Source organism: Homo sapiens, chromosome 15 (genome assembly GCF_000001405.40).
Source record: "Homo sapiens chromosome 15, GRCh38.p14 Primary Assembly".
Classification (NCBI taxonomy): domain Eukaryota; kingdom Metazoa; phylum Chordata; class Mammalia; order Primates; family Hominidae; genus Homo; species Homo sapiens.
The window spans coordinates 43,718,668-43,735,709 of record NC_000015.10 but is presented as its reverse complement, the minus strand read 5'-3'; the positions used below and the strand labels follow the sequence as shown (position 1 = coordinate 43,735,709).

At 43.1% G+C, this 17,042-nt stretch overlaps 1 pseudogene, besides 2 other annotated features; it reads left to right on the top strand.

Moving 5' to 3' along the window:
• Nucleotides 57–126: an enhancer, noted in NCBI's record as "active region_9319". NCBI's record gives its function as "activates an Ori minimal core promoter by ATAC-STARR-seq in GM12878 lymphoblastoid cells {active_cell/tissue: GM12878}" and the evidence as "EXISTENCE:reporter gene assay evidence [ECO:0000049][PMID:35858748]".
• Nucleotides 137–216: an enhancer, noted in NCBI's record as "active region_9318". NCBI's record gives its function as "activates an Ori minimal core promoter by ATAC-STARR-seq in GM12878 lymphoblastoid cells {active_cell/tissue: GM12878}" and the evidence as "EXISTENCE:reporter gene assay evidence [ECO:0000049][PMID:35858748]".
• RNU6-354P (RNA, U6 small nuclear 354, pseudogene) lies at nucleotides 1,425–1,531 on the top strand (annotated as a pseudogene).

The following is a 17,042-nucleotide window of genomic DNA, read 5'->3' as shown; positions in this document are numbered from 1 at the left end:
TGGATGAGAAGGGGCTGGGGACAGGTGCCATGGTTCAGAGATGACTGGGTTCAGCAGTGCAAGAGAGGGTTTGGTGGGAGATTGCCAGGTGGGCTTGACTGGGCTGTTGGTGGAGATCAGCCTAGTCTGGCCCACATCTGACTTGAGTTTATGGCCTCTAGAGCATGACTTTCCTCTTGATGTTGCTGCTCATCTTCTACATTTTTGTTGTGACTGGTGTCTACGTCTTCTCAGAGTACACCCATTTACCTCGTCAGGACCTGGAGTATCATGTATTCTCGTAAGCAGAGCTGAGTGACAGCTGAGTGAGGGGAGAAAATTTGGCTAAGAGACCAGGAAGCTTGTCCAAAGTATAGTAATATAAAAAGTACAGTCTATTCCAAGAAACTGAAATAGAACACAATAGGGAGAGGGAAAGAGAAAGCAAAAGAACAGTGAATGGTATTAGCTCTGATCTTGAGGTTAGGGCAGCTAGTTCCATGTTTATTCTGGGTTTTGCAAATTCAAACCACACTGTCATCAGGCATCTTTAAATAGCGGTACACTCCAGTGGTTGAGCTTGGTTTCTGTGACTCAGTTACGTCTTTTGAAAACTGGGGGCCAGGCACAGTGGCTCACCCCTGAAATCCCAGCACTTTGGGAGGCTGAGGCGGGTGGATCATGAGGTCAAGGGATCGAGACTATCATGGCCAACATGGTGAAAACCCATCTCTACCAAAAATACAAAAATTAGCCAGGCGTGGTGGCTTGCACCTGTAGTCCCAGCTACTCGGGAGGCTGAGGCAGGAGAATTGCTTGAATCTGGGAGGCAGAGATTGCAGTGAGCCGAGATCATGCCACTGTACTCCAGCCTGGCAACAGAGCGAGACTCCATCTCAAAAAAAAAAAAAAAAAGAAAAAGAAAAGAAAAATGGAAATAGGCTGGGCATGGTGGCTTACGCCTGTAATCCCAGCACTTTGAGAAGCCAAGGCGGGTGGATCACCTGAGGTCAGGAGTTCGAGACCAGCCTGGCCAACATGGTGAAACCCTGTCTCCACTAAAAATACAAAATTAGCTGGGCATGGTGGTGGGTGCCTGTAATCCCAGCTACTCGGGAGGCTGAGACAGGAGAATCACTTGAACTAGGGAGGCGGAGATTGCAGTGAGCTGAGATTGAGCCACTGCACTCCAGCCTGGGCTACAAAGAGTGAAATTCTGTCTCAAAAAAAAAGAAAGGTGGGGGGAATAATAGCAGTGCTACTTCATAAGAGTGTGGGGTTAAATGTGGTAATGCATTTAAGCACTTAGCACAGTATGTAACACGTTATAAGTGATCAATTAATGTTACTATGATTCTCAAATATGATCACTGGTTTTATCCCAATCTCTACATATTACACATGCACACGCCTATTCCTGATCTCTGTCTAGAAAACACTAATCAGTGCTCACTTCGGCAGCACATGTACTAAAATTGGAACGATATAGAGAAGATTAGCATGGCCCTTGTGCAAGGATGAAACACAAATTTATGAAGTGTTACATATTTTTTAAATATTAACAAAACCTCACTAATCAGTGTTTTCTAGAAGAAAATCAGCTTGAATTTAGAGTAGATAATCTTGCTTATGAATTATAATTCAATCTGGTCAGCGCCTCTCAGGACTCTGTTAGACTCTAACAGATAGTTTTGTAAGAGTATTGAGTTAGGAAAGTCCTAGAATTTATCCTATACAAGCTCTGATGTTTTCAATAAATTGTGTATGGGGAACTAAAAAGAAAGGTAGGAAAATTTAGATACCTTCCCGGAAACTTTTTACTTTTTTAGCAATTTTTAAATATTATTAATTTTATAATTTGTATATATTCATTATTTAGGATCACATATGTTTATGTAACATACCCATTTACTTGCATATCATTTCATACCAGCAAACTAATAGGAATAATTTTTTGAATGATCTTCTATTTTGCTAAATTTGCTAATTTTGCTAAATTTTGCTAAATTTACGAGTGATCTTCTATTAAGTGGAGTCCATAGAGCAGTGGAGAATAAAATTAGAAAAAACCGCTGGGCATGGTGGCTCACATCTGTAATCCCAGCACCTTGGGAGGTGGAGGCAGGCAGATAGATCACTTGAGGTCAGGAGTTCAAGACCAGCCTGGCCAACATGGTGAAACCCTGTCTCTACTAAAAATATGAAATATGAAAATTAGCTGGGCATGGTGGTGCACACCTGTAATCTCAACTACTCGGGAGGCTGAGTCAAGACAATCACTTGAGCCTGGGGGGCAGAGGTTGAAGTGAGCTGAGATCACGCCACTCCAGCTTGGATGATAGAGTGAGACTCTGTCTCAAAAAAAGAAAAAAAAATTAGAAAACTATCTAGTTGGTGATTCATTCATCTTTAAAAAATTGATCTTTAAAAATTCATTCATCTTTAAAAAATTCAGTCAATACCTATTTATTATTTATTATACCCCAGGACTAATGGAGTAGTGAGAGGTAGTCACAGATTATTCATGATAAAGGAGAATTTAGGCTGGGTGTGGTAGCTCACGCCTATAATCCTAGCATTTTGGGAGGCTGAGACTGGTGGATCACCTTAGGTCAGGAGTTTGAGACCAGCCTGGCCAACATGACAAAAGTTTAGTAGAGATGGCTCTACTAAAAATACACAAATTAGCTGGGCGTGGTGGTGCGTGCCTGTAATCCCAGCTCCTTGCGGGGCTGAGACGAGAATCTCTTGAACCCATGAGGTGGAGGTTGCAGTGAGCTGAGATCGTGCCACTACACTCCAGCCTGGGCAACAGAGCGAGACTCTGTCTCAAAAAAAATTAAATTAAATTAAATTAAATTAAAATAAAACAACTTCAAACAAGAATGATTAGCTAAAAACAGTATGGTAGAAAAGGAGCCAAAATCAGAACAAACTACAAAGAAATGCTTTATGTTTCTTTGAAAGTAGGAATGATACCATTTTTGAAAGGTTTAGGTCTCTGCTTCCGTCTATTCACATGCTTTTTTCTTTAGGGACCTCCCGAATTCCCTGGTAACAGTGTTCATTCTCTTCACCTTGGATCATTGGTATGCACTGCTTCAGGACGTCTGGAAGGTGCCTGAAGTCAGTCGCATCTTCAGCAGCATCTATTTCATCCTTTGGTTGTTGCTTGGCTCCATTATCTTTCGAAGTATCATAGTAGCCATGATGGGTAAGCATAGAGGAGGTGAAACTTGTTTGGGAAGTGTGGTTGGGAAAAAGTTATTCTGAAAGCTGGGATTGGTGGCTTATGGGTATAAAGAACCTAGTGTAGCAGGAAGGCTTGGGTTCTGGATTGGATATTTCACTTGGATTCTCCCCACCCAAGCCCTCTTCCCAAGTCTAGTCATTACCATCTCCCAGCTCCTAATGGCCCTTTGGGGAAGTCATTAACTTGCAGAATATCAGGAAAGAGCTGCATGAGGAGATGGCATGTCAGGAGGTTCAGCTCAAAGCTGATATGTTCAAGCGGCAGATCATCCAGAGATCTACTTCTCCCTTTTCAACCCCAACTTTCCTTCTCAAGGGTTTCCTGAGCTCATTTCTTGTTTCTGCTCCTTGACCCCACTTTTCCCTTTGTGACAGTAGATTTGCCCCCAAGGATAAGAATTCTCCAGCTCTAGAATATTGCCTGATTCTTCATCCACTGTGGGGAGTCCTCCATTTTTTTCACCCCGTGACTACAATTTGTTCTCCCCAATTAGTTTTCTTCACTTTCTGATATGAACTCTTTTTTTCTTACCACACTTTTGCTTGAATATAACTGTCTTTGCTCTTTTTTCTTTTTTTTTTCTTTTTTTTTTTTGCTTTGCAGGAGAAAAAAACATGTCACGTGAGGCACTGAGGTCAAGCCACAGCAAAATAGATGCCAGGTTAGGAGTATGTATGTGAACTGGGATAGAAACACATGAAGGAGGAGAGGGTGGAAAACTAAAGATGAAGATTGGCTTTGAGAGATAATTCATTCATTTAATAACTGCATATTGTAGTAGGTTGACTAGTGGCACCCGAAATAATATGTCCATGTCTTTGCTCCCTGGAACCTGTGAATGTGACCTTATTTGGAAAAAAAAAAAGATCCTAAGTTAAGGATCTTGAGATGAGATCATCCTAGATTATCCAGGTAGGTCCTAAATCCAATGGCAAGGGTACTTATAAGAGTTGAAAGAGGAGAAGACACAGAGAATAGGAGAAGGCGATGTGAAGACGGAGATAGAGGTTAGGGTTAATGCCGCCACAAGCCAAGGGAAGCTGAGGAATGCCAGGCAGCTGCCAGAAGGTAGAAGAGGCAAGGAACTTCTCCCCTAAAGCCTCCAGAGGGAATATGGCCCTGCCAACACCTTCATTTCAGACTCTAGCCTCTAGAATTGTGACGGAATATATTTCTGTCATTTTAAGCTACCAAGTTTATAGTAATTTGTTATGGCAGCCACAGGACACTAATACAAATACCTTCCATGAAACAGATATGATTCTAGACCCCAAGTGTTTAGCAGTGGACAAAAAAAGCAGAAGCAGAAGTAAACTCATTCACTCATTAACAAATAATTACTGGGTGGATGTGGTGGCTTACACTTGTAATCCCAACACTTTGAGAGGTGAAGGCAAGAGGATTGCTTGAAGTTCAAGCCAGAAGTTCAAGGCTGCATTGAGACATGATTGCACCACTATACTCCAGCCTGGGCAACAGAGCAAGATCCCATCTCAAAAATTTAGCAGGGTGGGCATGGGCACTCATGCCTATAATACCAGCATTTTCGAAAACTGAGGTGGGCAGATGACTTGAGCTCAGGAGTTCAAGACTAAACTAGGTAATATGGCAAAATCCTGTCTCTGCGAACAAAAATTAGCTGGATGTGGTGGTGTGTTCCTGTGGTCCCAGCTACTTAGGAGGCTGAGGTGGGAGGACTGCTTGAGCTGAGAGGTTGAGGCTGTGGTGAGCCGTGATTGTGCCACTGCTCTGCAGCCTGGGTGACAGAGCAAGACCCTGTCTCAAAAAAAACAAACAAAAACAATAAAGAACAAATAATTATTGAATACTTAGTAGGTGCTTGGGATGTTATCAGTGAACAAAATAGACAATAATGCCTGCTTCATGGAGCTTACATATTAGTAGTGGTAAAGAGATAATAAGCAGTGAATATATTAAGTAATCTGTTAAAATATGATAAGCATTATGGGAAAGTTAAAAGTAGAACAGGTTAAGGGAGATTGGGAGTATAAGGTGGGATTGCAGATGGGTTGTAGTTTTTTTTTCTTGAGACAGAGTCTCGCTCTGTCACCAGGCTGTGGAGTGCAGTGGCACGATATATCGGCTCACTGCAACCTCCGCCTCCTGGGTTCAAGCGACTCTCCTGCCTCAGCCTCCCAAATAGCTGGGACTACAGGTGCCTGCCACCATGCCTGGCTAATTTATTTGTTTATTTTTTTGTATTTTAGTAGAGACGAGGTTTCACCATGTTGCCCAGGCTGGTCTCAAGTTCCTGAGCTCAGGCACTCCACCCGCCTCAGCCTCCAAAAGTGTTAGGATTACAGGCGTGAGCTATCGTGCCCAGCCGCAGATGGGTTGTAGTTTTAAACAGGGTAGTCACGGTGACCTCATTGAAAAGGTAATGTGAGCAAAGACTCGAAGGAGGTAAAGGGATTACCATGTGGATATCTGTAAGAAGAGTGTTAATAGGCAGATGAAACAGCTAGTGCAAAGCTCCTAAGCTGGATGCATGCTTGGTGTGTTTGAGAAACAGCAAAGAGGCCATTGTGACTGGAGTAGAGTGAGCAGGGGGAAGAGTGCTGGGAAATGAAGTCAGAGAGAGAATGGTGACCTGATCCTGTAGGGTTATGGGTGCCATTGTAGGGACTTTGAAATGGCAAGCAGAACAGAGGGGTGACATGAAGTGACTTACGTTTAAGAAGGATTACTCTGGTTGCTGTGTTGATAGAAGAACAAGGGAAGGAGCAGAGAGATCAGCTGGGAGGCTATGCTGCTGCCCAGGCAAGAAATGATGACAGCTTAGGCCAGAGTGGTGGCAGTGAGTTATTGAGAAAAGATATATTTCGAAGGTAGAGTCAGCAGGATTTCTTGATGGACTGGATATGGGAGGGAAGAGAAGAGTTAAGGATGACACATGAATGATTGAGGTTGGAAGTGCCTGAGTTTAGAGTTTGGGAGTAGTTTGGCCCTCATTGTCTTATGCCCCAGCTTTAGGGGGTGGCCAGGGGCAGAACCAGAATAATGAGTGGACTAGTCATATCTTGTAAATGTTTGTGAAGCCATAAATTTCTTCTTTAAGTTCAAGAGGAGCTAGTCAACAAAGGGAAAGTTTGGACTTATCAGAAGTGTCTGAAGTAGAGTCTAATTATGGTGCCACTGAAGAGGATTTAATAACATCTGCATCAAAAACAGAAGAGACCTTGTCAAAAAAGAGAGTACCAGTCTTCCTCCTGTGTCTCATCCACATCCTCTTCCTATTCTTCCTCTTCTGAATCCAGATTTTCTGAATCTATTGGTGAGCCGAAGAACTATAATAATGAGTTTTTTCCATTTGAATTCAGACTCCTCTTTAAGACATCTTAGTCTTAACAGGAGCTCTCCTACTATATCTCCTTTCCAATTTTCTGGTCTTAATTACTTTCTTTTTGCTTCTTAATTTCCCCTGTACTTCTTCTTCGCTTTGGGTAAGTGTGGCCGTGGCCTCTTTGCTCATTGTAAAAAGTGGTTTCTTGCTGATGCACCCTTTCCCTCCTTGCTTCCTGTTACCTCTTTCCACTCCACCTTTCCACCCACACCATAGGATTTACCAGCTCTTACCCAGCTTTTACAAATCTAGACATGCTTTTCTGAAGCATTCCTCCCTATAGGTCATTTGGACTGGGAAACTCTTGTGCACGAGAATCTGCCCAGGCTAATGGAAATGGATCAGGATGACCGTGTTTGGCCCAGAGACTCACTCTTCCGATATTTTGAGTTGCTAGAAAAGCTTCAGTGTAACCTAGAGGAGCATAAGAAGTTACAAGAGTTTGCAGGTATGGAGTTAGGGCAGTCATGGGGACCATGGGAATATATATATAGCATTTATAGCTGTGGAGAAGGAGGAGGGTGTCCACTATTCTGGCATTTCAGCTTCTCAATTTCTGCCTACACCTAAAATAGGCAAATTCTTGGTTTGGTATGTCATATTCTGGGAATGTGTCCCAGTTTTCTCTAACTGAGAGAGAACCTAGAAACTCTGCTTCTGTAGCAGGGGACACCCAAATCCTATGAGGTATGAGAGCTTATTTCCCAAGAAGAGAAAGTCTAATCCCAGTTGTTGGGAATTAGGACAAGGTAGGCTCTTGCTTGATTTGGGCAGCCCACCAGTTTCTGCACGTTTGTTCTCTCTGAAGATTGCATTTCAGACTTGAGCAGCAGGGCCTAAGCCTCAAGCTGGAGAGCTATGGGGGATCAGACAATGAGCAGGATGCCCACAAGTGCTCACTGTCCTAACTCCCTAAAGAGGTTTATGAATTCTAAACTTCTGCTTGTATCTGCCCCTTCTAGTGTCAGCCTCTATAAAGATAAATATGTGATTTAAATAGTAGAGTTTGATGTAAACTGAGAACTATCCAAAATTATTTTTCCTAAATTTCATTACTCTCTGACTAATTTGGATTAATACAATTTCCCTCTAAAAGGAAAAAAAAAGGCTGGGCACGGCGGCTCATGCCTGTAATCCCAGCACTTTGGGAGGCTGAGGTGGGCAGATCACGAGGTCAGGAGATCAGGATCATCCTGGCCAACATGGTGAGACCCTGTCTCTACTAAAATACAAAATATCAGCCGGGCCTGGTGGCACATGCCTGTAGTCCCAGCTACTCAGGAGGCTGAGGCATGAGAATTGCTTGAACCTGGAAGGCGGAGGTTGCAGTGAGCGGAGATCACGCCACTGAACTCCAGCCTGGCAACAGAACGAGACTCTGTCTCAAAACAAAGCAAAAACAGAACAGTTAAGGGCAGATTTTTACAATTTAATATGTGTTATCTGGGGTTTCCCCCTCATATCTAGTTGAAATCAACTCAGTTTGAAAATAAGAAATTAGAGAGGAGGACTGTGTGTTTGTGTGTGGTGGGCACAGGTGGGAAATGAGGAATTTATAATATTGGAACATGGAATTTAGGGCAAGATGTGAAAGACAGGCTTTGCTTACTTCACAATGTTGCCTAAATTTAATCCTGTTCCTTCTAGTCATTCTTAGCCCTGCCTTCCCACTTATTCTCTAGGGAGGACAGGGTGAAAAGGAGGAAAATGCAGCAAGGTAGTTTCTTTAATCCTGATAAACTTGTCTATGGCAAAGAGTACACAGAATCATAAGGCTTAATTAAAAGATTAATAAAGACTTTTGTGGGAACCTGGAACCCAGAAAAGCAAGGTCTTCACCAAACATTTATATATGTAGAATATTCTTAGCTCTCCAGCCTCACAATCTGTTTCCTTTGCAGTGCAGGCACTGATGAACTTGGAAGACAAGTAAAGCAATGGATGGCTTCAATATCCTTGGGCCCAGCAAAAGATAATGAAGGGAATTGTTGGAAATAGAGAATTGAAAATATAAACATTCAGATAGAACAATATCTGTTCATTAAAATTAAAAAGTATAAGTGTCTAGGCCGGGCGCGGTGGCTCACGCCTGTAATCCCAGCACTTTGGGACACCGAGGCGGATAGATCACCTGAGTTCGGGAGTTCAAGACCAGCCTGGCCAGCATGGTGAAACCCTGTCTCTGCTAAAAAATACAAAAAAAAAATTTAGCCAGGTGTGGTGGCAGATGCCTGTAATCCCAGCCACTCTAGAGCCTGAGGCAGGAGAATCACTTGAACCTGGGAGGCAGAGGTTGCAGTGAGCCAAGATCGCACCACTGCACTCCAGCCTGGGCAACAGAGTGAGACTCGGTCTCAAAAAAAAAAAAAAAAAAATATATATATATATATATATATATATATATATATATATATATATATATATTTATAAGTGTCTAATAGATGCTCCTAGTAGCTGCTCAGTAGTCTGCCTCTGGGATAAGGGATATTGAAAGGCATAAAGTCAAGCAAAAGAGTTAGTTCAAGCTGAGTGTGGTGATGTGTGCCTCTAGTCCCAGCTATGAGCTGAGGCAGAATTGTTTGAGGCCAGGAGTTGGAGGCTGCAGCAAGCTAGGATCATACCACTGCATTCCAGCCTGGGCAACATAGCAAGACCATATCTCTAAAAAAGAACAAAACAAGTTAGCTCAGATGCCAGCGGAGTCTGTGCTCCTTAGCTTTCTACCCTTTCCACAGCTCCTGAATCTGACTCATTTCTTGACTTTATCATTATAGCTTCCACCCTTCCTGCAACCTCTACTGCCTGATTAGAGTCCTAATTTTACCCTCTCCCTCCCTGATGCATAGGTAAAGGCCCCTCTGTGGAGTAAGGAGATCTTCAGAGCTGTTAGTGTAACTAATTGAGAAGTATTGTTTCCATTGCGTGTTCTACTCATGTTGCTTCTCTTGTGAACCATTAACTTTAATTGGATATTATTTTTACCTGTTTCTGGACCGAAAGTCTCTTTATTTCATTTTGCCATTGCTCAGGGCAGTGCTCAAATCAGTAAGTGTTGTACAGGTTTTTAGTGTTAGAAGGGATTTCAGAGTTAATCTATCTCCCATCAAAGCAGGAACACCTTTTAGAACATCACTGAAAGGAGGATTATCCAGGTAATGCTTAATGTTTCTAGTTATTTGGGATTTATTATCTAGAAGGGATCCCATTCCATCGTTAGAAGACTTAAGTCTTTAGACATGTTTATTATTAAAAATTATATCACTTATTGAGTGTTTAACATGTATGAGGATATTTATATATTTAGTATATATATACTGTATATAGAGTATGCATATTTCATAAAATAATCATATATGGAAGATAGCGTCACATTTTTAGAGATCAGAAAACTAAGGCCTAAAGAAATTAAGTAAGTTAAGTAGCTTGCCCAAGAGCACATACCAAGTAAGAGGTAGAGCTAAGGTTCTAACTCAGGTTAAAAATTCTGAGTTGAGAAAAAAATCAGTTGAAGCCATTTAAACAATAAAATAGCTTACTGGAGACTGGAAAATTCAAAGGTAGTATAGCTTCAGGATTGATTTAATGTAAAAATTCACTGTTGTTAGATCTGTGGTTTTGTTTCTCTGGAATTTTCCTGTCTGCGCTCTCCTCCACGTGTTCTTGTTATTCTCAGACTGGCTTCACTTGGGTAGCCAGACAATTTTCTGAAGCGCCTAGGCTTGCATACCTATTTCCCCATATGCAGGGGAAGAGAGCCAGTGACTCCTTTCTCAGTCAATGAACAAAATTTTTGAGCTTTGGGTCACAATAATGGTTATTCTTGGAGTGAAGATACTGATGGGGAGGAAGCATGAAGCATCTGGAGTGCTATAGATATGTTCCATATCTTGATCTGCATGGTGGTTACACCGGTATATACAGATGTAAAAATTCAACAAAATGTACACTTAAAATTTGGGCATTAACTGTAGGTAAGTCAACCTCCACTCCTCTAAAGATATCCTGACCACCACTCTGATTGCACCAAGAAGTTAGGTCATATGCTTACGTCTGAACAAATTGTTGAGGTAAGGTGGTGGATGTGATGAAATCACTAATTAAGGCTTTCTCCTGAACTGGAGGTAAGGTCAGTAACACCCAACCTTACGTAAGGGCTGCTACCCAAGTGGGGAAGAGATGGAAGGGGGCAATAGGGTGGTAATTATAAAGTCCTCACCTAAGAGTATGTCTGGCAAAAAGGCCAAGATGGGGAAAAGGCAAATGAATTGAATGTCCAGAATAAACAAATCTATGAAGACAGAAAGTAGATTAGTGGTTTCTTGGGGGTTGGGGAGGGAGGAATTGAGACTGACAGATGATAGGTATAGGGTTTATTTGGCAGGTGATGGAAATGTTCTGGAATTAGATAGCCTTGAATAGTTCAACAATGTAATATATTTAAAAACACTGAATTGGGCCAGGTGTGGTGACTCATGCTTGTAATCCCAGCAGTTTGGGAGACCGAGTCGGGTGGATCACCTTAGGTCAGGAGTTCAAGACCAGCCTGGCCAACATGGTGAAACCCCATCTCTACTAAAAATACAAAATTAGCTGGGCGTGGTCGTGGGTGCCTGTAATCCCAGCTACTTGGGAGGCTGAGGCAGGAGAATTGCTTGAACCCGGGAGGTGGAGGTTGCAGTGAGCCGAGAGCGCACCACTGCACTCCAGCCTGGTCAACGAGAGAAACTCTGTCTCAAAAAAAAAAAAAAAAAAAAAAAAGAGCTGGACTGGAGCATCATCCATTGAACTTGTCAATCAGAATACAATAAACATCATAAAACAGAATAAGGAAGCATTATATCATAAATCTTACATATATTATCCACAAAGGAGATGCTCTTGAATAGTTTTGCTCAAAGTGTGGCCTGAAGATGAGCAGAATTGGCCTCATCTGGTCATTTGTTAGAAGTGTAGAATCTCTCACTAGCAAGAGACTAAAAAATAATTAAAAAAATAAGTATAGAGGCCGGGCATGGTGGCTCACGCCTGTAATCCCAGCACTTTGGGAGGCAGAGGTGGGTGGATCACGAGGTCAGGAGTTCCAGACCAGCCTGACCAACATGGTGAAACCCTGTCCCTACTAAAAATACAAAAATCAGCTGGGCGTGGTGGCACACACCTGTAATCCCAGCTACTCAGGAGGCTGAGGCAGGAGCATTGCTTGAACCCGGGAGGTGGAGGTTGCAGTAAGCTGAGATCACACCACTGAACTCCAACCAAAAAAAAGGAAAAAGAATCTCAGGCCCCATTCCCCAGGCCTATTGAATCAGGTGATGTAGCTGCACATAAAAGATTCAGAACAGCCGGGTGTGGTGGCTCACGCCTGTAATCCCAGCACTTTGGGAGGCCGAGGCAGGTGAATCATGAGGTCAGGAGTTCAAGACCAGCCTGGCCAACATGGTGAAACCCTGTCTCTAGTAAAACTACAAAAATTAGCTGGGGGCGGTGTAAGGCGCCTGTAATCCCAGCTACTCAGGAGGCTGAGGCAGGAAAATAGCTTGAACCTGGCTGGCAGAGGTTGCAAAAAAAAAAAAGATTCATAAGGCACTGCTTCATAGGTATTTGATGAATATTCCCTCCTTCCCTTTTCCCCCAAAACACTACACAGATATACCCTCTTGACTTTTTCTTTTCTTCCCTTTTCTTTTTTTCTTTTCTTCCTTTTTTCCCTCCCTCCCTCCTTTCCTTCCTTCCTTCTTTCCTTCCTTTCTTCCTTTCTCCCTTCCTTCCTTCCCTCTCCCTCTCTCCCCTGCCCCTTCTCTCTTTCTTTCTTTTTCCCACACAGAGCTGGCTGTGCAGGAGACTGGAGTTTTACTATTATTACTCAAATTAGTCTCTTCTGACGTTTTTGAGACGGAGTATCACTCTGTCGCCCAAGCTGCAGTGCAGTGGCACAGTCTCTGCTCATTACAACCTCCGCCTCCTGGGTTTAAGCGATTCTCGTGCCTCAGCCTCCCAAGTAACTGGGACTACAGTCACACGCCACCACACCTGGCTAATTTTCGTATTTTTAGTAGAGATGGGTTTTTTGCCATGTTGGCCAGGCTGGTCTTAAACTCCTGGCCTCAAGTAATCCGCCGCTCCTTTGCCTCCTGAAGTGCTGTGATTACAGGCGTGAGCCACCGTGCCTGGCCTGAATGAAGCTTTTCTAGCATACATTTTCTCTATAAGGCACTTTACAGCCTTCTTGCTATTAAGAACACCACACAACACTTTGGCATTAAGCTTAGGAGCCATTTTAAACGGTGAAATCACCAACAAACAGCCCCAAAACACAAAAAGTGCATCACTAGATAGAGCTCAAAAAAGACACTGGCTGGGCGCGGTGGCTCACGCCTGTAATCCCAGCACTTTGGGAGGCCAAGGTGGGCGGATCATGAGGTCAGGAGATTGAGACCATCCTGGCCAACATGGTAAAACCCCGTCTCTACTAAAAATACAAAAAATAGCTGGGGGTGGTGGCACATGCCTGTAATCCCAGCTACTCGGGAGGCTGAGGGAGGAGAATCACTTAAACCAGGGGGTCGGAGGTTGCAGTGAGCTGAGATCGCCACTGCACTCCAGTCTGGTGACACAGCAAGACTCCGTCTCAAAAAAAAAAAAAAAAAAGACACTAATATTTACACCATGAGAGCTGCAACAAGAAGGCAGAGCACTGCCTTGTTCCACCTCAGCTGGGAACGTGTATATCAGGTGACTCCAACTTGTCACCTCTCAATACAAGTCTGTGAATGACCTCAATAGCACTGTAAGTATTGATTTTGGGTTACAAACATTTAGTGACTAGGCAAATCCACAAATACAGAACTCACAAATGACAAAGACTGACTGTAAATGCTGTGGTAATTTGGAGCCTCGGGCTATTTTGACCTTGTGACACTGCCATCTCAACATGTGGTTTCTAGGTTGCCTCAACAGGGAAGAGATTGTTGGAGGCTCATTTGCTAGCTCTTAAATTCTTTGTTCAACCACAGTCCATTGAACAGAACTAATCACCTGAGCCCAGCTAACTGCAAGAGACCTGGGAAATGTGAAAAACACCTAGATATCTAGTAAGCAATAAATATTTCAGTTACCAAAGCCAAACCAAAAAAAGAGAAAAATAATTGTACTTTACAAAGAGAGGCATCTGGCTGGGCATGGTGGTTCACGCCTGTAATCCAAGCACTTGGGAAGCCGAAGTAAGTGAATTGCCTGAGTCCAGGAGTTTGAGACCAGCCTGGGCAACATGGGGAAACCCTGTCTCTACTAAAAACACAAAAAATCAGCTGGACGTGGTGGCACACACCTATAATCCCAGCTACTCAGGAGGCTGAAGCATGAGAATTGCTTGAACCCAGGAGGTGGAGGTTGCAGTGAGCTGAGATCACATCACTGCACTGCAGCCTGGGTATCAGAGTGAGACTCAGTTTCAAAAAAAAAAGGAGGCATCTGTTCTTTTTTGTTGTTTTTTTTTTTTTGAGATAGAGTTTCCCTCTTGTTGCCCAGGCTGGAGTGCAGTGGTGGGATCTTGGCTCAGTGCAACCTCTGCCTTCCGGTTTCAAGCGATTCTTCTGCCTCAGCCTCCCGAGTAGCTGGGACTACAGGCACATGCCACCATGCCCAGCTAATTTTTTGTATTTTTTAGTAGAGACAGGGTTTCACCATGTTGGCCAGGATGGTCTCAATCTCTTGACCTCATGATCTGCCTGCCTCAGCCTCCCAAAGTGCTCGGATTAGAGGCGTGAGCCACCGCAACCGGTTAGGGAGGTATCTGTTCTTGTCAGGCAGAGAGTATCCTGTGGGAGTTTTGGGGAGTGAGGATGTTTCAGAGTTCTCAACTCCTGTGGCTCTTCCCAGGTATACCCATTCTAACTGGCAGATCACAGAGTGTTCCAGTTATCACCAGTCTTATCCATTTCATTTTAGCAGGACATATGATTAATTTCTTGTTCTGGACCTTTGTAATTTAAATTTGCTGGTTGTTCTCTGTTTCCATTTGGTCATCTGCAGGTTGGAACTTGTCTCGCTCTTGTTGAACTTTGTCAAATTATAAGCAATAACCAATACACTCAAATAGCCTGGGATATTTGCCATAAACCCTAAGCACTTCGCCATCAGTTTGCACATAGTCTGAATCCTTAGCGGCAAGAGAATTGCTTAATCAACGGCTTACAACAGCAGAACGTGGACTGCCAGGAAAATTTCCATCCTGAGTTGAGGGAATCCTCATTGTTTCTCTCTCTGGTTGACTCAACTAGTTCCATATTTGTTCTGAAGGTCTTTCACTCAAGATACAACTTCCAGATAATCATTTATGTATTCATTAGAACTCCTTTAGTTTCGAGTAGAGAAAATCATCTTGAGCTATTCTAATAATAGTAATAGTAACATAGAGTGAATGTTTATTCTGTACCAGTGTCTGGCCCATAATAAGTGCTTAATCTTTGTTGAATGAATGCTAGACATTGCACTAAGTACTTTAAATGCATTATCTAATTTAATCCTCACAAAAACTCTACACTAGGGTTTTTTCCTTTTTACAGTAAAAACAACAACAGCAACAACAACCACAACAACAAAAACCCAAAAAACCAAAAACAGAGATTTAGAAACTGCCCCAGGACACACAGCTAGTAAATGTTGGAACCAGGGTTTGAACCTAGACCATCTCATTTTTTGCTACCCTATGAGGAAAGAAGGATAATTTGTTATAAGAGAGTTGTTACAGAATGAAGGGCAGAAATTCAGAAGGATTACAGGATGGGCTGGAACCACAAAGCTGTTGGGAACTCAGGTCGTATTCTCCCTCGGATTCATCTGTCTGCTTTTTAGACTAGATGTGGTATCCTTGATGGGCAAAGGGAATATTGGTAAAATTACACAACAGATCATTTCACTGATCTCAACTTTTGATTTGCCTTGGAAAATCCCATCATTGCTCCCAGCTGTCTTTGTGACCTGGGTTAAGTCATTCCATTTCTTTGGGCTTCAATTCCCCTGTCTATAAAATGAGAAGTTCTTACCAGAGGATTCCTCAGGTCTCTTCTGTGATCCTGGGAGGCCGAAGCAGGAGGATTGCTTGAGTCCAGGAGTTTGAGGGTGCAGTGAGCTAGGATCATACCACAGTATTCCAGCCTGGGCCATGGACCAAGACCCTGTCTCTAAGTAAATAAATACACAAAAATAAAACTCTGTGATCCTAAGTGAATCTTCTAGGTCAGAAGCACATTAATAATGAAGTTCCATGTGTGGATTTGAGGGAGAGAATGGGGAAGGTTTCTAGGGAAAGAAGGACAGAATAAAAGTTTGGGTATAGCTTCAGTGTTGAATTGCTATTTAGAGTTGGTGTAAAGTGAAGGCCTTTGGGGAGATATAGATGGAGAATGGAAAAGACTTCTAACCCTGGCCTGGGGTAGTGGCTCAAGCCTGTAATCCCACCACTTTGGGAGGCCAAGGTGGATGAATCACTTGAGGTCAGGAGTTCAAGACCAGCTTGGGCAACATGGTGAAACCCCATCTCCACAAAAAATACAAAAATTAGCCATGCATGGTGGCGCATGCCTGTAGTCCCCCAACTACTTGGGAGGCTGAGGCAGGATAATTGCTTGAACCAAGGAGGCAGAAATTGCAGTGAGCCGATAGTGCCACTGTACTCCAGCCTGCGTAACAGAGTGAGACTCCATCTCAAAAAAAAAAAAAAAAAAAAAAAAAAAGGCGCTGTGGCTCACGCCTGTAACCCCAGCACTTTGGGAGGCTGAGGTGGGTAGATCACTTGAGGTCAGTTCAAGACAAGCCTAGCCAACGTGGTGAAACCCCATCTCTACTAAAAATACAAAAATTAGCTGGGTGTGGTGGCACGTGCCTGTAATCCCAGCTACTTGGGAGGCTGAGGCAGGAAAATCGCTTGAACCCGGAAGGAAGAGGTTGCGGTGGTGAGATAGCCCCACTGCACTCCAGCCTGGGCAACAGAGAGAGATTACATCTCAAACCATCCCCTGGAAAAAACAAAAAACAAAAACAACAACAAAAAAGACTTCTAACCCTGACCAGACCAGATTATTTTGAATGACATCTCTTTCTCTCTCTGTTCCATGAGCAATTCTGTGTGTAGGGAGATCAGTCCCTGTGCATAGTGATTTAAATCTGGTTTCTGTCTTCTCAGCTCAGAGTTTTTGATGGGGCTTTTACCTACTAGGCCACAGAGAAAGAACCAAATGATAGGGGATCCCGGAGGGGGAAGGAAAGACCCAAACATTTGAATGGCCTAATGAGCAAATCACATTTCTCTGGGTCTGTTTCCTTATCCATAAGTGAAAAAGTTTGGTGTATGTGATCTCTGGGGTACTGCTCAGCTCTTGACACTCTGTGGTTCTGGGTAGTAGTTGAAAGCAGCTCTCCTCTTCCTGAATTCTCCATCCTTGGACT